The 27,339-nt window shown below is 36.4% G+C and overlaps 1 protein-coding gene across 4 annotated transcripts in view, besides 1 other annotated feature; it reads left to right on the forward strand.

The window, feature by feature from the left end:
- GRM3 (glutamate metabotropic receptor 3) overlaps positions 1 to 27,339 on the forward strand; it is a 220,971-nt gene that overhangs the window by 58,689 nt on the left and 134,943 nt on the right. The window lies entirely within an intron of this gene.
- Positions 5,625 to 6,149: an enhancer, noted in NCBI's record as "OCT4-NANOG hESC enhancer chr7:86337538-86338062 (GRCh37/hg19 assembly coordinates)". NCBI's record gives its function as "activates a minimal SCP1, AML or CMV promoter by ChIP-STARR-seq in naive H9 embryonic stem cells {active_cell/tissue: H9 hESC(naive)}" and the evidence as "EXISTENCE:reporter gene assay evidence [ECO:0000049][PMID:30033119]".

Genomic DNA, 27,339 nt, shown 5'->3' on the forward strand with positions numbered 1-27,339 from the left:
GATTCCATCATTCTCTTTTTGTCCTTATTCTTTACAAAATTTTACCTTCTTTACACTGCAAATGAAAGACTGGGCAAGAGTAAACAAAATGATCTCTATCTTCAGTTTACCTCATTTTTCTTTTTGTTGTTTATAACATAGTATTTTGGCCCTGGCAAACATTTGAGTACCTAGCAGTTCTAACACCTGAACACAGTTCTTGATTTAGACCAGAAGGAAGAACACAATGCCAGGGTCAAAAGTGAGCCTGTGTGTCAAGAAGTAGCTGATCTTTGAGACGTTAGAGTTACCCTTAATGAGAAAAAATACACAGAACAAACGTAAAAGAAAACAAATCACCCATGTTGAGTCCTAGGAGATGATTTCCCACAAGCTGTATAAACTTTCTTCAGTTAAACAAATAATCCTAGAAATGAAGTTTTGTTTTCATGCTTTGAGGACACATAGTAATGATTACCTGTGGTTTTTCTCACTGGAAACCCTGACAATGAGACAAAATATGTTGGGGTTTTTTTTCCAGATAAATGTCTTAAAAAGACATTTCTAGAATATGAACATTTCTTAAGTCAATGTTTTTCATTTAAATTTAAATTTTATAATCATCATATCTGACTTTATTCAAAGCACAAATCCTAGAGACAGGCAAAGTTTTTATTGGTTAAGAACCATTTCACAATATCCCACTCACTAAGATCTCTTGCTTACTACCTCAAAGAGGTGGGGGAACCTCCGCTGTATGAAATGTAGTGTGAAAGGTTCATGGAATTTCTATATATTCTGAGGACTTTTTTTGGAAGCAAACCTTTGAAATTCAATCTCAGATAAGAAAGCGCAGAAACTGAGTAGACAGGAGAGAAGTGTCCAAGAAGAAGTAGCTTGCATTCAAAGGTAATTGAAACACATCAGAAGAGTGTGTTAGTGTCTAAGTAAGACCTTGGGCCTAAATCCATATGGATGTGTAAATGAGGATTATGTAATACTCATATCCTGTATTACAATTGCCAAAAGTATATGAGAAGGGAAATTTTCACTTTGTTCTCTAGGAATGTGTATTCATTCATTCATTCCCATCTGCCTTTGACTAAACCAGAGCTCAGCGAAGTGGAATGATTCATCAAAAAAGAAATGGAAAGTTGACGGCACAGTCAGAACATCAGAGTTCCATTGAGTGTGTTCCACTGAAACACCTCAGTCCCTTTTAATTAAAGCAAATGAAACAGTAAAATGGGCTTATAACTTTTTAAGGTCCTCTCTAATAAACCTGCCCTAGACACTAGATATATGTTCAATGACCTTTAAAGTTAAAATAAGCTTTGAGACTTCTATGAAATGCTGCCTCCCATTCCCCAAAAAAGCCCATTAAAGTTTCAGATATGCCTGTATTAATAAAGTTGTTTAATCCCATTATTTTATCTCTTTCTGTTGGTCTTAAATCATCTCTCTACTTACCTCAGGTGATGATTGAAGTTTTTTATGTATTCCCTTAGTCTATTAATCCTGACCCTGCTAATATTTCACATGGCAGCCTCATTTAAATAGTACAACCAAATATTTTCATATTATGTATTACTAAAAAGTACTAGCGTTTTTCTCATTTCTTCATTGGCATTCAAACAGTTTTAAACTAAGTCTCTTCTTTATAGGTACAGATAAGAAAAATAGAATGAATTATTCTCAAGTTTTGATTAGATGCTTTCTGGGTTAACTAGATAGTTATGATTTATTCATAGGAATACATTAATGATCAATGATAGCAACACCAATATTTTTCCATTATCACCTAAATAATTCTTTAAAAATTCAGAACCTAACACTGGACCACAAAAGGAAATCATCGTTTCTAATGCATTTTTACTATGAACAAAAACATACTTAATATCTTCCTTTGTAAGTCCCAAAATATATGGCAGTCTTTAAATACTGTTCACAAACACACCACAGACAACATCAAACATTTAGTAGTTTGCAATACACCAAAGGAAAAATGATGATTTATTCAACTTTAATCGGCTCAATATTAATTTCATGAATTTTACACCTAGAGGATTCTGATTGCTGTAGTTCTTACCATGAATAAATTTTGCTCTTGAAAACTGGTAATTAATTCTTACACCTTGAAAGACTGAAAAACCTAGGCCTCTGAATACATTTACATGGAAATTAACATTCTTTTCTACTGTTTCTTTGAAATTTCTTTAGAGATTACCTTTCCTCGTTCTGTTCAGACTGTATCAAACATCCATTAATATAGTTCCTTTTTCTTTATATTCTCAAAGGCTTGGGGTTTAGAGAAACTTCAAGTGTGCAAAAATCTCAAAACTAAGGACAAGTCAATCAATGTTAACTATGAACTAATTTCTTTAATCTTGAGAATGGTGTTGAATGCTGTATTGTTAGGCAATACTGACATAGGCATCTAATTCACATATAGCTCTTCCCTTTATATAGCATTTTTTTGAACATCCAAAGGCAGTTTTAATAAGGGAACTTATGTATAATATAGATTATATTTTGATATGAAAATAAAATCTGGTAGGTAATGCTAAAATATAAATGAATGTTATAAAACTATTCCAATGAGACATTCCCAACAGCTCTCTATTTTTTCCTTCCTTCCTTCTGTCTTTCTTTTAAATTACCTGCCTTTTTCCTTCAATGTCATTTATTTTTCAATCTTTGGACCACTTATTTTCTCATTAAAGTGAAACACAAAGAATGGCTTTCATTACAACTCAGAGAGGTGAAGTACCAGTCAATTGGCACCAACATATAGTTTCCCTCACTGGAGAACTGAGAGAGTCATCTCTATTTCTCAATTTTGAGACAGACTCTTCACAATGAATAAGTAATTTGAAAATCAAAAAGACATTTTGATGAAAAACGAAGCTGAGGCTGAACTAGCTGCATGGTTTAAGTCATCTATAGGCTGAGTTGTGAGCAAGTAGACAAAGCTCTAGAAGCCTTTTAAATTTTTTTGTAAACATACTGACCCATGTATGCATACACTATAAAATCTGGCATTAAAAAGAGCACAAGAGTCTTTTCCTTTGTTTTGCATACATAATTTTGAGAAGCACTTTTTTGGATCAAATGCTGCAAACAAAAACAAAACAAAAAAGAAACAGTTTAGCCAAGTTCTAGTTTTTATTCTTGGGCTCTCTAATAATAATTTTATATCACCATGCTTATAGGACATAAATGTTGCCTGATCAATCTCATCTCTCCCCTTTGGAAAAACTTGTCTTTGAACCATTAATTTTTATATCATGTTTAAAGATCACAAAGCAAGATTATGCTGATGAAGTTTATTAAAAAATTTGGAAGGCAATTTTATAATAGCAAGTAAACACAAAAGTGTCAAAGCACCAGAAATACAGCACCAGACTTTTAGCCCATCTGCAGATAATCTGTCTAGGATGATAAAACTTGTCCTTTGTTTATACAAATCCATAGACTATTTGAATAGAAATTTTATAATATACACTACATTTCTAATTCTAAGGATAAATGAAAATTACTAAGAGACACAATTTATAATGAATTCATTGAAATATTAGACCATTTCAATTCTGACTTTCCTATAGTTTGGAAAATTCCTTTAGCCCTGAAGGTCAAGGCACAGTTTAGTGCTAAAAATACCTGTTAGAGTTTAAAGTAGGGTGAGTAGAGCCCATCCTTTTTCACAATTTGTTATCTCCATAAACAAAGCTATATTGAGAATTTCCTCTGCAATTTGTATGGTATGATAAAAGATGCTAAATTCAGCAGAGACCAGGGTCTCAGCTTTACAATCTAAAAGAACAGAGAGGATAGACACACAATAGACCACATATGTCAAATGGCAACTACAGATAATAAGCATTCAGAATAGGGGAGGTCACTTCCAGTTGGTGTTAGTCAAAGCAGGCTTTATGAAAGGCTTTGTGGTGGGCAGTATGCTGATGTGCAAGTGGTAAAACAGAGGACACTACAAATCAAGGAGATGACACTAATGGAAATGTAGAGTCAAAGGAGTGCAAGGCTCACATGGAAGCATATGGATCCGGGAGCTAAGAGCCAAGTGCACAGTTGTTGAATGAGGGAGAGAGGAGAGGTTACTCTAGTATGCCAGGCACATGATCTTGAACTAGGAACACTGACCATAGATTGGCATTGACAAAATGGGTTGATTTTTTTTTAAGTTGACTTTAATTAGCAAAAAAATAGCAATGTTAAAATAAACATTTCATAATTCACAATTTCATCATATTAACAAAGCAAGTATTTTTATTACTTTGTATTTCCTTACAGGGATTTGTCCATATGGCTGAATATTTTTTCCTAGAAGTTGTCATACAATTTTGCACTTAGATATTTTTCAGTGAACGTTATAACATCGAACATATCTCTGCTGCTTTTTAAAATTTTCTTTGAGGAAATATACTTCCCTAGAATACTAAATTAGACCGATAGCAAGAGTAGCTAAAAACAGAAGTAATTTCTTGATGAGTTTTTATAAACACACTTGTTTGGAAGGTCCTTGAGCATATCTACACTTTCCACATCTTGAATTTTCCAGACCAACCCTGATAACATTTTTTCCTATAGTCCTCCCCTCTCTATGACTGGTACACTCAGACAACAGATTTTTGTGATATATATTAATTTTATTCTGTAATTTTAGCAAACTGATTTGGATCACAAATATCCTTCACTTACTTGCAGTGTGAACTTAGGCAGCTTGCTAAGTTCTCTAAATCTTAGTGTTGTCCTCTACAAAATGAGGCGAATAATGATACCTCCTCCTAAGATTGCTGTGATGAATTAAGGAGGGCTTCCGTGACAGAGAGTGTGGACTGTGGTTAAGAACAAAGACTCTGGGACCATTTTGCCTGAATTCAAAATTTAGTTCTACTCCTGGCTCTGGGACCTTGGGCAAGTTATCTGACATCAACTTGCTTCATGAGAACAATGGGGATGATGATAATAATAGACATATATGTACTCCTGTCAGGGTTGATGCAGGGAACAAAAGAGCAAAGTGGATAAAGTGGCTTGTAATTGTGCCTGGCAGATGCATGTGCTATGAATGGGTTCATTATTATTACATAAAATGGTTGGCATAGTATTTAGATCATGGTAAGCAGCCAATAAGTGGTAAAAAGTAATTATAGATGTTACTTTTTACTCAAGCAGAATGCTTTTATCATCTCTCTTAATCAATGTTTGTTTTCCTTCCACTAAACCTGGGAGACATAAACCTAGTTTATTTAACAAACGATTATATAATATTTACCAAATGCCAGGCACTGATGAAAGCACTTTACAAATAGTTCATTTAATTTTCATTAAGAACCCTATGAAAAAGGTACTGTCATGATTCCCACTTTAAAAAATGAGAAGCGTGAATTACATAAAGGTTATATAATTAGCCCAATGTCACTGAGAGACTATATGTCAATTAATCGACTCCGGTACTAACAACAGATAGAACTGGGATTCTAAGCCAGTCTCTCTGGCTCTAGAGCCTACACTCTTAATTAACTATGGCACTGTGTGGTTTCCAAGAAAGGAAAACTTTCAACCCATAGGCCCTTTACTCATGCAACCTTCTGGGCCATATGCCAAGCACCATAAGCCCCCTTCTTGACACTTGAAGATCTATGGGAACAAGGCCTATAAACATTCAGGCTCCATGCCCAGTGGTCTCTATAGTTTGTATCACCAGTTCTCCAATCACCACCCCAAACACACATCCTACAGTGGCCACACATAGAAGCCTAACAGTTCAAGAGATGTCTGGGAAATTCCAAAAACAGAAGGCAGATGAGAAGCAGCAGGGAATTTTATCCATGAATGTCTTCACAGAAGAATCTAAATGCTGATTGAGGGCATGTTGCCCTCCATTGAGGAGAGACCAGCCCCTGCTGGCAGGAAGCTCAGCGTTGACAACAACTACTGAAAAGAAGGCGGAGAGCTTTGCCAGCTGGGGATAGACATCTGGCAAAGGATCAGAGGGGTGCCACGTCAACGAATCCACCCCAGAGCTGGATTTAAACACATTTCCTCTTGGTGCTATGCAAGAGCTTACTGAGTCCACTATTGGAAGAATAGAGCTAAAGAAATTCACCCAGAAGCAAATCAGTTTCAAAGTAATGAGGGCATAACTCCTAATTATGCATCATTAGAGAGCCCTCCTGACCAGAACATAACTGAGGCTGGCCAGAGTCTAGTCTGAGCATACCTTTAAAGTTTAAAATATTGAGCAACTAGGTTTTATTTAAGATTCATGTCTCCATATAAGCAAGGTGTAGGAGAGTTCCTTCACAATCAGCTAAGTAGCTCGAATCTCTGTCACACACATACATATACACACACACACACAAACAGAGTTAAAAAAAATCTTAATTTTTAATCTTAGAAAAAAGTTATAGAGACTATTTCACTTTGACACCTAAATTACAACCTACATACTCAAGGTTTTTTTTCATTTATAGTCAAAGTAATTACAAGCTTTGATTTCCCTATGTGCCCTTGTTTGAGTGCATTTAAGTAGCAATGAAGGCTGGGTTTGGCCCTGAACTCAAACTTTCAGACCGTGAGTTTTTAAGCCCAATTGTATTTTGCATTCCTAAATTTTTCAGTTATTCCAATTCTCTGTCTTCCTTAAGGTCCCCGTAACCGCAATGAGTTCCCCTAATTCACCCAACTCCACCACACTGCTCCATGGCTCTCCCCAGACAAACTTGCTCCCTACCCATCCTACTCCACTGCTTCATAGTTCCCCCTCAGCCAGCTAATCACTCATCTTATAGGAGGCTGCTTCTGCACCCTCATTCTAATGGCCCAAGTAAATTTTATTCTCTTGCATATCTACCTAACCAGGCTTCTCTTTGATTGTCAGTTTTGTATGGCCCCTTTATTTCAACATTCTCTCAACCTCAGGTAAGAAATGCCTCTTCCATCAGACCCAGCCTTGTGGTACCTTCGGGGGGGTGGGGGTAGCAAATGGAACCACTCTGCTCTCATCCCCAAAGATGGACACCTGAGATTCTCTGCTATCAGCTCACACCTGTCAGTGAGTCCAGTTTTCTTCTTTCCTAAGGGGTTTAGACCTTGAAATGATATCATATTAGTAGATACCAAAGTTCTATAAATTGTACAGATCTAGGAATGCTGAAATTTATAAAATTAGGATACACATCTGAGCCTTACCATAAATGTCTGTAACTAAAAAATGTATCAATATATATCCTAAGACTTAGTAGATGTAGTGAGACAAGAGTGGAAGAGAGACATGCAAGAAGTGTGAATTATCTTTGGATGACTTTAAGGAAACATTTGTCCTTGTAGGGACAATTGCAAAGTTAAGCAATGGGAATAACCTATTTGAGGAACCAATATGATGGCATGTCTTGCTATTAAAAAATGGAGCTAGCATTTCACATTATGCTCAAATTAAAGCGAGCATTTTCTTCTATCTCAAAGCCAAATTTGAGTATGACCTTGTACCCACAGCCACACAATAATCAAGAGACTACTTGTTCATAAGAAGAATAGGCTGCAAATGTAACTTCTATTGTCTTATCTTTTCATTTTTTCATAATGCAAATATGACCAATTAAAAATGTAAGTAATATAGTCCACTTATTTCTTTTCTATGAACTCCCTAACTTTGAATTTAGTTAGTTAAATTTAAAATGCCTATTTTTTTTCATTTCAACTCTAGAATTCTTATGCTCTCTTCTGCCATTCTAAGTGGTTATTCCTCTTCATGTTTTTCCTAAGTCTTCTAATACAAATGACTGTTGTTTTGAAATTTCACATTTGAATAAATTACGTTTATGTTTTATATTTACTGGGAAAGCAGATAGCCCAGGAAAAGTTAAAAAAAAAAACTTGTATAAAATAACTATAGAAGACTGAAGTACTTGATGTGCTTTTCTGAATTTCTATGTCCAAAAGTAAGCTGCTACTGTGTGTGTGTGGTGGGGGGTGGGGGGAGGGGGCGGGTGGTGGGGAGAGAGAGAGAGTGAGAGAGAGATTTCATTAACTTGGGGAAAATAGTTTTAAAAACATCCTAAATTTACAGTGGAATGAAGAAAATAAAGTTTCTTTCTCTGTAATTCCCAACTCTAGTAAACAGTGTATTTTCTCAGAGTCTGTAGAAGACAATATAGCCCAGTGGCTAAAGTTTGGACCTTACAACTAGATAATAACATGTCTTTAAAGTGTTACTATGTGTCAGTCAAATATAACAATAAACCAAAAGGTAGATTGTTATTATTATTATCTACATTTTACAGATGAGAAAACTCAGGCACAGAAAGGGTGCCTGAAGTCACAGTGTTAGAAAAGTGTTAAAGCCCCTGTTCCTCCTATCCAGGTTGTCTGGCTCCATTATTCATGCTTTGAACCACTCTTCATGTTGCTTCACTTAACTTGTAATCCTGGCTCTACCATGTAGTAGCTGTGTGGCCTTAGAGAAGTACTCTCTCTGAGCCCCACTTTCCTCATCTATAAAGTAGGGACCATAATAAAATATATTTCTTGTAGTAGGGGCTCAATATGATTTGTCTTCTCTAATTTAATTTAATTTAATTTAATTTTATTTTATTATTATTATACTTTAAGTTTTAGGGTACATTTGTGATAGAACAGTTGCCTGTAAAACATATATGACAGCTTTTGTGAACATTTAATAATGGACAATTTTGCAGAGCAAATCCTAATACGGAACAACAGAGCACTGCATGCACATATGTATATAAATATGTATGCATATATTAGGCCATATTTTCCTGAATTATTTTTGCAAAATATTTCCACAATATTATTTGGTGGCATGTTAAATATACTAAGCACTTTTCTACCATTTTATATACTTTTCCAGAATAAATTCCTTCATCATTTCCTTTTTACTTTCTCTTGTAGTCTCTGTTCCACTCCCATCATTGCACAACAATTACCCTATTCGTGATCATTGATATCTTTTAGCTGCCAAATATACTGGTCTCTATTGGTCTTCATCTGGCTTAGCTTTTCAGCTAATGGAAGATGATGTATAATGGGTGTTCAGTAACAATTCACCATCATCACAACTTATAGTTAATTAATTACACATAATTAATTACACTGTCCTAAGCCAGGCACACTCTAAAGCTCTTTTTGGTTTGCTGGATTCATCTTTTTCCACCTACCTCCATTACACATATAATTCCCCAAGGTTCTGTCCTCAGTCCTCTTTTCATTTCACTGTTTTATTTACACTTAGGGAACCTAGATCCATCTCTTCTATTAGGGTACATATACTTTAAACCTGACCTAATCCTGAATTCTAGACACTCAATTCCAAACCTCTGGACATTCTACATGAATGTTGAGAAAATACCTGTAATTCAACATGACAAAGCAGAATTCACCTCCTACAAAACCTGTTTCTACTTTTGTATGCTCTTTCTGTTAGTGGCATCCTAATATTCAGATCTTCCAGAAGAAAACCTCAGAGGTAGTCTTAACTTCTCTCTCTCCTCAAAGTCTAGTCCTCAAATTCTGCTTACTTTACCTTTGACTTGCCCCTTAACCTCCTCTTCACTCCTGCTCTTCTCTATAACTGGTCCTAATTACTTTTCATCTGAACCACTGTAGCTGTATTTGTAAGCCATTCTTCCTTCCTCCTGTCATCATTTTCAGTACTTTCTGTTTGCTGCCATAGTGTTCTCTTCCTAAAACTCCTTTAGCGTTATGTCACTTCATCACTCCTCTATTTAAAAACCTTTAATAGTTTCATTTAAAATAAAGTATATTTGGGGGGAGGTACATGAGATAATTTAATTCATTCAAATAATGTACAAAGATCAAATCAGGGTAACTGTCATATACATCACCTTGAATATTTGACTTTATGCTAGAAACATTTAAATTATTCCCTTCCAGGTATTTTGAAATGTACAATAGATTATTGTAAACTATAGTTACCCTATATATCTATAGAACACTAGGTCGTATTTCTTTTTAAAACTGTACATTTGTATCCATCATCAACCTCTCTGCATGGCCTTACCCCTCTACTCTTCCCAGCCTCTGGGGACTGATCTATTCTCTATCTTCAGGAGATCCACTTTCTAGCTCCCACATTTGAGCGAGAACATGCGATATTTGTCTTTGTGTGTTTGTCTTATTTTACTTAACATGATGCTCTGCAGTTCTATCCATGTTGCTGCAAATAACAGAATTTCATTATTTTATATGCCTGAATAACATTTCATTGTGTATATAACATTTTCTTTATCAATTCACTCATTGTTGGGCACTCAGTTAATTTTATATTTTGGCTATTGTGAATAGTGCTGCAATAAACATAAAAATGCAGATATCTTTGATATATTGATTTCCTTCCTTTTGGATATATAACCAAGAGTGGAATTGCTGGATCAAATGGTGGTTCTATATTTAGCTTTTTGAGGAACCTCTATACTATTCTTCATAGCATCTGTACTAATTTGCATTCCTACCAGCAGTGTACAAGGGTTCTGCTTTTTATATAGCCTCATCAGCATCTATTAGTTATTCTGTGACTTTTCGATAAGAGCCGTTTTAACCGGAGTGAGATGACATCTCATTTTGGTTTCAATTTGCATTTCTTTGATGATTAGTGATGTATATATTTTCATATACCTGTTAGCCTTTTGTATGTCTTCTTTTGAGAAATATATATTCAGATATTTTGCTCATTTTAAAGTCAGATTATGTTTTTTGCTGCTGAGTTATTTGAGCCCCTTATAGCCTCATATTCAAAGTGCTCCACAGCTTAGCTCCTCTTTGTTAATTGTGTTCAACTTTCAACCTATGTCTCATGTAACTATCACCTTCCTCCACATATCCAGATATCCTGTGCTAACAGTTTCCCCATGAAAGCCCCATATTTTCTCCCTTCATACCTTTGCTCATGTTATTGTCTCAGTCTGACACAACCTCCAGGCCCCTCCCTACCCCCCGTCAAACCTCACCTATCCTTCAAAGCAAAATGCAACTTAGAGCTTGTTTCCCTGTTCTTGTAGGATGCCTTTTTCTGTACTTCATTTGGTACAAAATACAGTCTCTTGTTTGAATTACATGGCCAGGGCAGCAGAAATATGTCTTAACTATCTTTATGTTTCTTACAACTTCTAGCAAAGTAGTTCTATGTACATAGAAAATGTCCAGATATTGAATTATTGAATTATTAAATTAGTATATATGACAACAATAAAAATGGGGCTCACAGACTTCCAAATATAAAGAACGTAATTGACCAAGGGCCCCTACTACTGGGTTCGGAGCTCTATGCTGCATTTGTGCTAGGTCATGCCCCTTAGAGCTCCTTCCAGCCCATTGTAGGATGTGACAGGGACACTAAGGCAGGTCCATTCCTAGGAGACAGGAGGACTTATCTGACAGACAACTCTGACATACAGCTATGCTGAGCCTCCTTACATCACACAAGAGTCAAGGGCACATCCACACACCAGTCTCTACTTCTCTCCCTTACTGCTGCTCTTCCTACCAATGTCTGGCATCATTCTCATGCTCTCCTAGCTTTCTCCAGTTATCTCTCCATTTTTCTCACACAGATATTTCCCCTAATAAAATACTTACAAATTTAATCCCATTTTGGCTCTGCCTCTAAGGAGACCAGGACTGACCCAATTTCATGTGATGTAACTATACACTTTTTCTGAATTTTTTTAAACCCTGTGCTACGTAAACCTTGCCTTAGTCACTACTTTAACAACAAGCTCAAATAATAGTAATAATAATAGCAACAACAATTAACCTTTTACTGTATGTGCATTTTCTCATTTGTCCACAATGAGAAAAATGTGACTATTATTCCCACCATACAAGATGAAAAAAGAGTGAAAGAGGGTAACTTGCCCAAGTCACCCAGTTAATAAAACAATGGAGCCAGGACTTAAACCCATAAAACCTAAGTCCAGAATATAATACATCTTTTTAAATACTACACTATGCTGTTAAGTAATTGACCTGCTAAATCAACTATGTTGATATAAGTTTGAAATCTTTGCATCCATTTAAAAAGTTATAAAGATTCAATTTATTATCTACATAGCTAATCCCAAAGTGCTCCCAAACTCCCAAACAGTATAGGATAAGCATGGACATTATATATAACTATGATTCAGGAAAATATTTTTGCTGCTACAGGCATTCATTCATTTATGAGTGACAACCTTGTGCCAGGCAAGGGTTATGATAATAAAGGGCACTATTCTCTCTTTAAAGAGGTGAAAATTATAAAAAGAGCTCGATTTAAGCCAATATCCAACTTTAAAATGGTTCTAAACATCTGATTACCATTTACCATGTGATTGTCACAAAACAACTCTTGAATAAAAATTTCACCTCTCTACTCATTCCTGTATATTTTTTCTTGATTTAAAAGCATTGCTTTTAATAAGTGTCCCTCTGTCAGGACCGTTATGATTTCATTGGTCAGAAATGGCTAATTAGAACAGAAGGTCTCAAGCATATCTCCACCTTCTGGCAGGTGTCATTCTGTGTTTGTCAGTCACCCACATTAGGAAATGGAGTGGGTCACAATAAAGGTCAAATATAAATGCAAAATGACTGTTGTTAAAATCTCAAACACCAATTACCATTTCCTGGTTACCTTGGTTGCACTCATGCACATATCAAAATATTCTATTAACTCATGAAGTAGCAGAGAATAGTGCAAAGATGGACTTTAACATAAGACATATTTGGGTTTACATCCTATTCTACCACTTACTGACTCAAAAGATAGGCACATTTCTTAACCTCCCTGAGCCTCTGTTTCCTTATTTGATATTTATTGTGAGAACTAAATGAGGCATTTTAAGGAAGGTGTCTTGCATTATAAGTAGATGCCCAGTAAATGCCTTTTACTATCATTACAAGTCTATCTCCCTTGCCAGGCTGGCAGCTCCTTCCAGACCCATCTTAAGGTCATATATCCTCAGAACCTGACACAGCACCTAACACAAATAGATGTTTAATAATTATTCATATAATGAATTAATGAATTATTTGTGCTCTAGATAGTGGACTCTAAAGATACAAACACATGGGTAACCTTCTGGACCAAAGCTACCTTCAGCCATGATTCATAAAAGCAATTCTAATAACTCTTGAACCTAATTCCAAAATGCTGGCTTACTCTAAAAGGTCAATATGCACAAGTTTAGAATACAAAGAGAAAATTTCTATCTGTCATCTTGCAATGGCATTTAAACATAAAAGGCCTGGAAAGTAAGGGTGGGGTAGAGTATGACAAAGGGAAAGCTAGGGAAATTATGAGAAAGAGACAAAATATGTAAAAGCAATGGTGATTTCATCTTTAGGAAAGAACTCACCTGAAGCACAGATTAATAAATGATAGTAGCAACCACCTACGTGGTACTTTTCATCCTCAAAGCTCTGGATCAACAATTAACATACCTTCTTTGCATGTAAATGAAGTACACAGATGTCATTTGACAGGTGGATGGTGGATAAGTAGAGATAAAGATCCTCAAATGTATTCCCAATGTCATCTAGAAAACTCCTAAGAAAGTCAAGGTGGGGCTCAGGGTTTATGGTCATCACACTTGACCTTCTTTAATGATAAGATGATGTAAAGAAAAAAAATAATTCTATGACAGAGTATGACAAAAAGAACGGAGAGAGGAGAAAGACAAAGCAGAGATAAAAAGGAGAGAAGAGAAACAAACATTTACTGAGTTCTTATGTTACTTAGTATACGTATTATTCCACTTAATCCTCAAATCAATCCTTGGTTTGGATTTATCGTCAGAAAACTAAGGATGAGAAATGGTAAGAAGTTTGTCCAAATCAGGCACCTGGTAAATGAAAAACTTGGAATTCACGCCCAGGTTTTCCTGACTCTAGAGGTCAAGATATCCTAATATCCTTATCCACAAGGTATCCACAAGGTAATGAAAGGAACCTGATGCCAGGAGGGAGTGAGCACATATGCAGGTATCTGCACACATGAGTCAAACAAGATCATGGAAGGGAAACACCAAGTGCAATAACCCAATTGGCCACTATTCCAGTTATATGCAAAAAAAAAAAAAATAGTTTCTGCTTATTCTTTATAAATTACAGAATTATAAGCCCAATTTGAGGCTTATAATTTACATAAGATTATAAGAAAAACTATTTCCCTTGTTGGGATAGTTTGAACTATCCCAGGCAGGAAAAGTAAACATTTTATTTCATCTTCATATCCTCAGCACTGTTAAAGGGATCAATGACTATTTCAGATTTATAGATTAAAGATTGATTTTTCCAGTGCAAGTAGACACCAGAACATAGTACTCTGGAGTTGGACTACCTGGGTTCAAACTCTGACTCCTCTACTTATTAACCATGTGTACTTGAGCTAATTATTTGATACTTCCTGCCTCAGTTCCCTCAATAGTAATATGTGTGTCAGGAGATAATAATGAAGATTGAGTGAGCCAAAGAATGTTCAAATATAAAATGTTAGCTATTTGTCCCATTATAAAATGCATCACTCAGTTTTTAAGTCTGGTTCTCTTATCACTGGACTGTGCTAACTCCCCATGTAGTTTTGTTACCCTCCATAGAACAAATAGCACTCATTTTAGTTTTGACCAAAAAGAGATGTCATTGCCAAGAAATGAACTTGATTGCTTTTAAATGTCATGTCCTCACAGTGAGATATACCAAATTGCTCCCTCTTACTTCCATTCAAGTATGTGTGAGCAATGACTTTTATTTAAATTCATAATGGCATTTACTGCCTACAATATGATAGATACAGACAGAGCAGAATGATAATCAGCAAGTGGCTATCATTTGATCCTGTTTTATTCTGTTCACTTTCCTTCATCCATCTCTCTTTACAAATAAGAATCTAACTTTGTCACTGATAAAAATTTACGAGACTATTACAAAGGTATTCTGAAGCTTATATTGTGCCTTTAAAATAATAAACAATAAAAAAGTATCAAATTCCCTAGAAATGATGCAGATGGTAGCATGTGGTTAGCCATTTTAGAGCAAGCCAAATGCCTTGCTCTAAAGGCAAACCACAGAAGTGGGAAATCCTCCGTGTTACTTGAAGACGTGAAACATAAGGGTTTGTCAAGGTTTACTAAACTCTAAGTGAAAAGATGGGCATCGAGGAAAGGGCTTTTGAAATATTAAAGAACAGGTAAATCTCTGCAGCACTATTGATTTCAAAAGCACGTAGGGAATATTCAGAACAGGAAGAAAACATGAAAAAGTCATTGTGAAACATTGTGCATACCATCTCCACTGTCAGTGACTTTAAGTAGAAAATACAGTATCAGCTTTAAAAAAAAAATGCCTCACTAAGGGTATTTTATTGATGTGTGTTCATTTACTAGAGGCCTCTTAATTCTCATGGGTTCCTAAAACTCAGAAATCCTACAAGTGTGAATAGTGTTTTATAAGCAAAATTAATGTCTTCATTGCTGAATGTGATATTTTAGCCTTTAAATGTGCCTTATTAGCAGGGTTTTATAAAAATGGAAATGTAGATCTGTTACCATTTACATACTTCAGCTTGGCTGACCTTAAGATATTATTTCAGTCTGGCATTTATCTTGGTATCATAAAGCAAGCACTCTCATCCATGCATGAATTCCACATCACAATTTATCTAAACTAGCCACCACCTAAGATTTGAATGTAAAGACCTAGTCAATTAAATAAACACTGGAAAACATTATACTGTTTGCTTTCAGATTTATTATAATCTGACCCATTGAATAAGAATGATACATGTTGTGTGTGTATGTGTGTGTTTGAGACAGAGAGAGGAAAGGCAGGATTTGAAAGGATACTCTGCCTTTTCTTGGTTAATCTCAGACATCATTTCTGCTAGAAATAGTCATTTTGTTTCCAAACACTTGAAGCTAATTGCTGGTTTGCTAGGGGAGGATAGGGGTGTTATTTCCAATGACACTGATGCTGAGCACAGTTGTTTCAACATTCTCTCACAGTCACCACCTGCCTCTGTAAGGCAAGTCTGCATAGTGGGAGAGATGGTGTAGAGAAAAGAGTGTCAAACTAGAAATCAGAACACCCGGGTGACAGTAGCATTAACATTTATTACTTAATTTGTGGCCAAAAGCAATTCAACCCCTCAAAACCTTGGCATTGTACATTAAATACAGAAAGTTGAAATAAACATTACTGAAAAAAACTTACAATTCTAAACTTCTCTTGTAAGAATCATTTGCTTGGCAGAAACAGTGAGGCCCACCTATATTTTATAAATGAGATTAAAACTGAATCGCCACTGCTTTTGAGCTCTGAATGACACTGACTGTCTGGCAAGGTAGAATTGAAAACATTTCTGAATTCATTTGGAAAGAAAACGACTTTAATATCCTGGACCTTGGAACAATACCTTTAATAAACAAGGCTGTTCTACTTTGGACTGACCAAGGAAAACATTTCAATAAACTACTCATCTATATAAAGAAGGTTCTGATCCAAGCAGTTCTGGGGGAAAAAAAAGATGTAGTGAAAAAATACTTGCTTTTCTTATTTAGGGTAATACAAATATACAGAAAAAACTGAATTCCAGAAAGAGAGTATGAATACTTTAGTTATTTAGTATAAAATCAAAGTCCCTAAATATTTTCAGTCTCTTGAAAATTAAGAAACCAGTAGGCTATAAACAAAGTTTTTCTACTCTCCATTCTCTGGGAAGTTTCTTCATACATCTATTTAGCAAAATTTTGATCATCTCTAATATTTCTGACAGTGTACCAGGCATATAAAGATAAGTCACATGTGGACCTACTCCTAAAGAGCTGACAGTCCAGGAAAGCAGACCTGTGAACAAGAAATTATTGTGCAATGTAATAAATGCTTTGATAGGCATTTATACAAAATGTAATAGAACACAATGGATTAAGGTGGACTTATTGGGTCTAGAGTTCTCTAAGAATGTAACATTTTATAACTTGAGAATAAATCATAAATCAATTGTGGAAGGAAGGAAGAAGGGGATGCTATTCTTTCAGTATGACATAGCACTGACTATGTGTCAAGGAGTGACAAAGACAAATACTGAGCAACTAATTATAAGAATGATGAGTGAAGCAAAAGAGAAGTATGATAAAAGAGCATCTAACAGGACAATCTAGTTAGACTGGGAAATCATAGAGGACTATTCCATGAAACCTTACAAGCTGCCTTAAGGAGGATGAGTAGGACTTAGCTGGTCATAAAGCCAATGACACTAGCATGACTGAGGTCCTGATGTGTGAGGAAGGATGGCTTGCTCACAAAACTCAATAAAGAATATGGTGGCTGTGGAGTAGATTACAAGGATAAAAGTAGTATAAACTATCAGAAAAGTCAGCAAGCACCAGATCTGGAAAGACCTCATAGGCCACAGGAACATCCTACAGATAATAGATTGGGATAGAACAACCATGGAAAGAGATCAGTTATCACAGTAGTCCAAAGGAGAGATGATGGTGGTCTGGACTAAAATGGTAGAAACAAGGATAAGAAGATGATGATAAAGTCAAATAAGTCAGAAAACAGATCAGACCTTGGTAATTGAATGTGAGGGATAAAGAAAAATGAGGCTTTTACGATAATTCCAGGGTTTCTTCAATGAGAATCTGGCAGGACACTGAGATAGAGGCTACTGGAAGAAAACTACAGATGGAAAGGAGGTAACATCAAGTGTATCATGTGGGGCATGTTGTACTTCAGGTACCAGCAAGGCACTAAAATGAGGGTACCATTGAGCAGTTGATTAAAATAGCTTTAGACATCAGAAGATGAATGAAAGTTGGAATAGTGATAAGTAAAGTCATGGGAGTGGATAAGAGTGAATTTGAAACTGAAAGTGTAAAACACATTTACATACACTGATATAGAATACCAGGAAACTGGAGAAAGTTAGAGAGGCAATAGCCTAGATATCTTGGCCGTGCCATGAGATATGACAGAGTCCAGAGCCTCCTTCTGAATTCATCTACCCTATACCCTTACTACTTATCCCCTTCTCAATTTTCATTCTGCCAGAGAGCCCCACAGAGCAAAGCATCAAGGTAAATCAAATATGAACTAGCGCAGTGTATCACTGTGTAGATCACAAATATTCAATGCCTTAAATACGTCCACTTAGAATTTGTATGAAAGTGTTCACTCATTCATTTGTTCAACAAATATTGATGAAGCACCTAACTATGGAGCAAGCACTGTTTTAAACACTAGAGATAGAAAAGTGAGCAAACTCTGCCTCTGAGAGTTTACATTGAGGTAGAGATACTCAGACAACAGTAAACAAACAAGAAACAGAGGATGAGAGTTCTCTGTGTACTATGAGAGAAATAAGCAAGGTAACAGGAGCAGACAGGAGGCTGATTTAGGTAGCTTGATCAAGCCTTTGCTTGCCTCAGGCCCCAAAGGGAAGCTAATACTACCATATCACCTGCCTGGGCCGCTAACACACACCTTGTTTATGTGATCCCATTCTTTCTCACTGGTGATAGAGACAGCTGTCCTCTCAAGAATCCCCATTGCTCAGTACCAAGTTGGTAACAAATTAATCTACTGAGCAGAAGAGTTCAAAAGGGGTTGTACAGGAGCATAGTATTTAACAGATGAAAGCTTTTAGCATCCCAGCCCTCACGCTGGTTTGTTGATGAGTTTTTAATTTCTTCCTCATGGCTTCTAGGATGAAATACCAAGTAAGAGAAAAAGCAAGAAAGTCATTCATTTGACCCCTAAAAACCTGGAAATTTTTACCCTTCCCTGACACAAATAAAAAAGAAATCTCATCAAATAATGCCTAAGTATTTCTATAGCATATATTCTTCCATGGAAAGAATAACCTATTTCATAATAGACAATTGTATTATTGTTCTGGAATTCCAATTTGGAAATTCAGATCTTAGGCCACTGGATTAATACTAAAGTTAAACATGAAAAAATATGTAAGTACTTGGGTTGGAGTCCAACACTGTGCTTTATAATAAGATCTGAGAGGAATCACAAAACCTCTCTATCATCGAGCCAAAGGGGTTAAATGTTCACCACTAGACCTTTGTTTTAGTGTTATCTCCATAAGATCTCTATTAAAATGTATTTGTTACCTTGTCAAGGGGATGATACCAAGAACCAATGCATTTTGAGGCAAAAGTGAAAGGCTGAGACAGCATTGGGAGGCACTTTGTAGGCAGAACAGATTCAGGTGGCAAATGCCACAAACTGTGACAAGGCAGTGTGATGTCATTGGCACCTTGAAGAAGGAATATCACTAGGAAGCATGGAAGATACCAGGAGAAACATTGACTCCTGGAAACTAGAATTGGCAGAACCTTAAAGTTGAGAAGGTCAAGGCTCTTTCTTGAGGAAAACTGGGTCCCTGGGAGAAAAGGTATTTTAGAACATAGAAACTGAAAATTGAAAGAAACTCTTGAGATTGGGCACAATTCTCAATATTACTCAGTCATAATAGACCCCAGAGAGGCTTCTGAAAAGTACAGATTCCCAGACCCTTCCCCTTCCCACCACCAGCAACTTTGATTCATTATATCTTGGGTTATTCTCAGAAAACTTTTTTTAAAAATTGAAATACCATTTGACCCAGCAATCCCATTACTGGGTATATACCCAAAGGATTATAAATCATTCCACTATAAAGACACATGCACACATATGTTTATTGCAGCACTGTTCATAATAGCAGAGACTTGGAACCAACAAAAATGCCTGTCAATGATAGACTGGATAAAGAAAATGTGGTACATATACACCATGGAATACTATGCAGCCATAAAAAAGGATGAGTTAATATCCTTTGCAGGGATGTGGATGAAGCTGGAAACCATCATTCTCAGCAAACTAACACAAAAACAGAAAACCAAACACCACACGTTCTCACTCCTAAGTGGGAGTTGAACAATGAAAACACATGGACATGGAAGGCAGGGGGGCATCACACACTGGGGACTGTCGGGGGGTGGGGGGCTAGGAGAGGGATAGCATTAGGAGAAATACCTAATGTAGATGACGGGTTGATGGGTGCAGCAAACCACCATTGCACCTGTACACCTATGTAACCTGCACGTTCTGCAGATGTATCCTAGAACTTAAAATATGATAAAAAAAATCCACATATAAGCAAAAAAAGAAAAATGACTTATCTAGCAAATTTGAGAACAACTCCTCTTTACGTTGTAAGAATTCCATCTATTCGGTCCTTTATTCATCATGCAGCCTTTGGTAGTCTTAACATGCTAGTTCTAAGGTCACAGAGCTCACTAATTAGAGGGCTGGAATTTATGATCTTAATATAACATATTTATTCCACCTTTTCACTCATTTCAAATATATCTGGAGTTGACAATTCTTAGTGCAGCCCTAATAGCCCCAAATGATATAAATATTAATATTACTCATACTATGGAATTTGATTTTGTGCCTGGTAAAATTTGTTTTTTTAAATGACAATTAGAATTAATAGATAATATAGAAACTGTATTTCCTGAATGAATCTCTAGAAGGTATTTCATTCCCTTATTCTCCATATGGGCAGAACCCTATGAAAAATAACATCTCCTCTTGAGTTCTACATCCATAAAAAAAATATAGAATATAGCTCAGGTGATAGATATAATGATGATTAAAAGGAAGGAAAATGACACCTGTGAGAAAAGGTAACAGAAATTGGAATTACCTACTCTAGAGAATGCTGGCAAGTGATATTCTTCTAGTACATAGAGAAATATTATACATAATGGTGACTGGCTGAGCCCCATTTTAACTGCCAGAAAATTTTTTAAATGGGCCTGATACTCATTTCTTTCTCTGAGCTAAACTTAAAAAGAATTAAATTGATGGTAAGAAAATGTTGATAAACATATGATCTGATTAGCAAAGATGAATTGTCATCCACTAAATGATTTTTTACCAAACGAGTTAAAAAACAAGAACTAAACTAAACTAAAATATATTTGCAGCTCATTGTGATGATGTAAGTTGTGAGACTATTCAGTGGCTGAGGCCACAGGGCAGTTCTTTGAGGGAACATGATGGTGTTGCCTGGGACACTTAACAAAACTGATTACAAAATGTCATTTAATTAAGCAAAGAGAACTCTGAGGACTTTAAAGTTTTCTCTGCCCCTAGTTGCAGTCTTCACCTTGTTCCCCAGCTCCACCCTCATACTAATATGAATCATAGGAGGCATAGATTGTACCAAGCTGTAGTAGTTTGTTGAACCCTCCTGGCTGAAGCACAATGCAAGATTGGTGTTAAAGACCATGGTAGTAACGAATGCATTTCAAATAACATGTGTTTACAATTATAGATAAGCACTGCAGGCTCATTAACTATAAATGAGGTAAATCTGAGGAGAAATGTAGTTTTCTTCTAGACTTCCTGGAAGAGGTGTTTTTGTCACCATTTCATAGCCTTTGCAGCTATTACTTAGAAGATAAAAGTGGGATCACTAACATTTCAATTAACGCTTTCCAATAACATGAGCAGACAGACACTATTGTGTATAAATCAACTGTATCTAAGATGATGTGTAGATAAATAGGTTAAATAGAATGCTCTTATCATTCTTGAAAATAAAATAGTAGGATGGTTGCTGATTCCCTTTACAAACACGACATCTATAAAACTGCTTTCTTCCTGAGGATTGTTCAATAGGAGTGCCTGGGAAAGGGCTAGGAAATAACTTTCCAGGCAAGGCACTAACAGTAGAATTGAACTTTCATTAGTGCAGAGTGTAACCACAAGGCTTCAGCTCATATTGTCTAACTTTACAGCTTCCAAAAGGCCTGAATTGAAGACTCAATTTCCATATTGCAGAGTTGTTTTCCTAGGAGCCCTTTACATTATTTATTTTTACAGTAATACGCTGGAGAACTCAGTAGCAAGTAGACCAACTGTCCCATGGTTGGAAAGTTATCCTAAATGAGTACCAAAATCAGCTGAATCAGTGTTCCTAACATTCTAATGAACATCTGAAACACCTGGCAATATTGTTTAAACTATAGATTCTGATTCAATAGGCCTGGGATGGAGCCTGAGAGTCTGTGTTTCTAGCAAATCCTAACTGATGTCTCTGCTGATTCATAAATCACACTCTTGAGTGGGGAGGGTTAGATTATTTGCAAAAGCCTATTCAGTTTAGCACTCACTTGATGATCACTTACTCTTTGCCAAATACTTTGGGTGTGGTCTTCTAACGTTGCCTCATTAAAAGACTACAATATTATTTACAGAATATACTTCAGTTTGTGTGGTGGAGTTTAATAGTATTACTAAACTTCCCACATCAAACAAACAAAAAAAATCTCCTGAGGTTTATTTAGGGTGATTTTGTGGAATTAAGGTGGATCCTGGACATTAGCATTACCAGATAATTCTTATCATTAGCCTGGAAACACTTCTTACTATTACCAGGGGATGTATGCATTGGAGTTGCCAAGACCTTGATTTGAATCCTCATTCTTTAATTTCATGGCTATAACTTTAGGTACATTTCTTAAGTTCTCTCTTCTTTGATTTTCTTATCTAGAAAACTGAAGAAACAATACTAATCTTTAAGGATTGATTTGAGGATTCAGCAAAATAATGTACATAAAAGCCTAAGCACAGTGTCTGACACATAGTAGGTGTTCCAGTTACTATTGCTGCATAAAGATCACCTCAATCTGAATGGTGTTGAACAACCAATCTCACAGTATGCCATGGATTCTGAGAGCCAGGAATTTGGAAAGGGCATGATAGCCTCAGGGTAGTCAGACTTTTGATGTGATACCTCAAGGCTTCAAGCAGGAGTATGACAATGACAGGCGGAGGCTGCATCTTTCATAACCTAGCCTCAAAGGCCACATAGCATCACCCTCACCACATTCTATTTGTTACAGCAAGCCCTCCTATAGTCAGGAATAGGAGAATCAGACTCCCACTATCAACAATACAGCAGCAAAGTCTCATTGTAGAAGAGCATGTAGGACAGCTCTCTTTGGAAAATAAAGTCAGCCACAGTAGGCAAACAATTTTCTCCTCCTTTTGGATGGAAAACTTTCTCTTAGTTGGCTTGGGCTGCTGTATTACTATAGACTGGTTGGCTTATACAACAGAAATTTATTTCTCATGCTTCTGAAGACTGGGGAGTCCAAGAATAAGGTACCAGCCAATTAAAGTTCTTATAAGGGCCATCCGCCTGGTTATGTCCTCACATGGCAGAAGAAGGGGGAAGGAGGAAGAAGAGGAAGGGGAGAAGGAGGGATCTGGTTTCTTTCTCTTCTTAGAAGGACACTAATCCCATTTATAAGACACTGCCCTCATGGCCTAATTACCTCCCAAAGGCCCCACCTCCAAATATCATCACACTGGGGATTAGGCTTCAACCTGTGAGTTTTGGGGTCACAAACATTTAGACCATAGCATCTATCAGATAGTTGTGCTAGAGTGACATTGTTCAGTATCTTTGCCTGGCAAAAACTATCTTGGGTCTTTGGTCCTCCAGAGGTCACTCTTTTTACTAATTGCATTTCTGTCTAGCTCTTAGTCCAAGAACACCTCTAGCAGTTCTTAGTTTACAATCATGACTAAGTATATTCACAGAGGTGTTGGCCCTCACCCCAAAGTGTGGGCAGAGGCCATCTCCTTCAGTCATGGGACCTTGTGGTCATTACAGAGATTTTTTAAAGCAAACAACAGCTCTTTTTCCTGAGGCTGAATACATCTAATTTCTCTGGATAAGGGGAAATGATGGCAAGCTCCCTGATGGCAAGAGACCTAACTCTGATTATCCTCATTTCTAGATTGAAATTATATTGCAATATATAGTTCAGAGTTAGTACTCAATACTGTTTCATGAATTCAGTTCAATTCTTTGTGTTCTCATACAACTTTCTTTCCTCTCCAAATTCTTTTCTGAATCTGGTTCACCATCACTAACCATTTCCCCCATATTTCCCCCAGTTGGACCTTTAAACAGCCTATTTCCATTACTCAGAGCCATATAGAACAACCACAGAAGTACCACTTTTCACTCATTTTCCTCATCTCAAATAAGTTACTTTTCAAGCACATAGTTAAAAATGAAAGCACTAAGAACTTCTTTAAAGTCCCATTAACTTCGCATTCACTGTTCAGCTAATCTGAGAATCTATTGCCAATTAATACAGTCACTTCCTCTTGTAACACTATTCTTAACAGAACTGGTCAATCTCCGTCATTCAAGAGTGATAACTATCTGTCAGGAGAGGTCTCAGTACTGGCAATAAGGAACAAGTTTGAAATGGACAACTTTGACATTGCAGCCAGGATAGAGGCAGGGGGAGAAAAGACCCAAGTGGGAATCAAATACAAGTAATAAGCAAGGTCCCAAGACCCAGTCAGGGATAGAAACTACAGATTAGGAGACAATTCAAGTTAGAATAAGACACAGTTCTCTTTCCTAGGGAAATTAAATAAAATGGGCAGGAGGAAGATAAATACAAGATAACTATAACACAAGACAGAAGATGATATAGTGCAAAAAGAGACAACAGAGTCATAGGAAATTTGTGGAAGATCTTAATGGAAGAAATGTCATTTTAACCAAATATGACCCTATCCCTCAGGAGAAAAGAAAGCTCTTTAGAAAGACATGCAAAGTTCATTGTGGTCTACTCCCTAGCTATAGCTCCTCTCCCAGTTCCCCTACCCCAGCCCCATTCATATATATTCCATCTACTTTTCTCCTCTGGTTAACTCCCAAATCCCAAAAGTTCTTGAAGACTCCCTTCAGTTATCTCTTTCTCAGAAAAGGGAATTAGTGACTAAGTCTCTGTTTCTGTCAGCCTATTATAGCTGAGCATAAAGCTCTTCTGGCACATAGTACAGAACATTTGTATTTACCATATTTACTCATCTTATTCACTAGACAGTAAATTTCTTGAGGGCAGAAACCTTTTTTTATCTTTATCCTTGTATGTTTAGTACAATGCTTGACAGATTATAGCACTGACCAAGCAGATGTTTAATATATGAATGAGAATCTGAAGTCAAATCAGAAGTTAGATCAAGTGAGAAATATTTTAGCAAAGAAGATTCAGTGAGAACTTACTGTTTTTCAGTCCCCATATGTATGAGTGTAAATGTGTATGATCTAAACCAGGAGTCCACAAACATTGGCTTTTGTACCAAATCTGGCCCGCCACCTGCTTTTACACAAACTTGTAATGGAACACAGCTACACTCCTTTGTGTGTTTTCAATGACAGCTTTCATACTACTAGGTCAGAGTTGAGTAGTTGATACAGAAACCATATGGCCTGCAAAACTTAGAATATTTATTATCTGACCCATTACAGAAAGTTTGCCAACCCATGAGCTAAACATCAAGAGGTGGAATATTTAAAATAAAGTGTATTGTCTCTAAATAATATATTCTGTAGACAATTTATATTGGCTCAAAAAAGACCATTTTTTTCCTGTGAATATCCCTCCATGTACTCTCTACTTTTTATTATTACCACATTAATACAAGGCCCAGCTCCATGCCTGTCTCCCCCATTGCTTAGTCTCCTACAACAGATGCTGTAAAATAGCATGCACAGGAGCCTAGACTCTGCCCTCTAGGAACTTAGAATTAAGACAACAATGTAACTGGCAGGAGCATTCTCCATCCTGTAAACCACAGACTATCAAAGACAGTATATGTAGCAGAGGGGCCTATCCCATGGAATACAGAGAAAAACATTAAGGAAAGTCAGATATATTTGAACTATTCATAGTTTTGGACCATCACTTTCTTAGTCTACTAGAAAGTTTTAAAAAGCTTGACTGTCTTAAGAACTTAGGAAACTATAGTCAACTCAGCCTCATCCCTTCCTTCTCCAGGCAATGGGGCTGTTAAGTAAATCAATGAATTAAACCAGGCAAATCAGGTATCACATTTGAAATCTTCCAAAGTCCTGGCATGGTGCTGTACAGCTGAGTAACTGCCCTTCACCTCATCATCTTCCCTCCTCTTGACAGGCTTCTGTTTGTCCTACCACTTTGGAGTACTCAGGTGTGACTTTCCCCATATGTTTACTGTCCTTCATTTGCCACACACAGAGCAGGGCATCTATGTCCATATCTGATATGTTGGTTGGGATTTTATCATTTAGCTAGTGAGCAGGTAGTGAAACTGGTAAAGTAACTGCAATGAAGTCAAAGCCTCTCACAGTGAAATCAGTGGTAAAGATACACAATGATTGTTACAGGGCTTGTGGTGATACACAGGGTCCAGAGAAACTTAATTCCTTTATTTCCAGGGGAGTTTTTGTTGATACACCAACTTTTCCTAGTATAAAAAAAGCACCTTCCAAGATAAGGAGTTGACACTTGACTTGGTGAATTTATCCCCAAAGAAGGGGGCACTCTTTTGTCTGCTTTCGTTCCACCTTTGTAGAATGAGTCCAGATGCAATCACCCCAAATTACTTCTGATTAGCTTCCTTTTGTGAGATAATTTCAAGCAGATTTTTTTTTTAGTTGAAGAATGCTGATGACCCTTAGATGTAGTATGGTGCAATGGTTAAGAGAAGGATTCCCAAGCTGGACTGTCTGTTCAAGTCTCTCCTGACTATAGCAAAGTAATCTCTTCTTATCTTTGTCATCTGTAAAGTGATGATGATAGTGTTTACTGCTTGAGGATGTTGGAAGGATAAAGCGAGTTAATATATCTAATCTAACATTCTTAGAATAGTGTCTGGTGTATAACGTGTTCCATTTTTTTAAAGAGAGTATTATTGTGTTACATGTTATTCAGCACAGAAGTGACACTGTCCTATTAATAGCAGAAAAATATTTTTGAACAAAATGTTAGTTTATGCTTCTAATTCCAAACACATTCTTTACTAACATGGAGGAAAGCTAATATTTCTAAATTGTTAACTTTACCATTTTTCATTAGCAATAAAGGAATTCACTTATGGCTTATGTATTGGTTGTAATTTAAAGAAAATTAATATATACGCATATGAAATTATGTATGTACATACACAAACTTTTCTAACAGGATCTGAGTGAATTATTTGTATGTTCTTATAGAGTAACAAATAATTTACAAATCACACAGAAAAAAAGTCCCATATTTCTCACATTGCTTTGATCATAAAGGATTAATTACATTCTTTCAATAACCCAGCATAACTACATTACTATTAAAAATGGCATAACTCGGCCGGGCGCAGTGGCTCATGCCTGTAATTCCAGCACTTTGGGAGGCTGAGGTGGGTGGATCATGAAGTCAAGAGGTCGAGACCATCCTGGCCAACATGGTGAAACCCTGT

The sequence above is a fragment of the Homo sapiens genome, chromosome 7, assembly GCF_000001405.40.
Source record: "Homo sapiens chromosome 7, GRCh38.p14 Primary Assembly".
NCBI classification, from domain to species: Eukaryota; Metazoa; Chordata; class Mammalia; order Primates; family Hominidae; genus Homo; species Homo sapiens.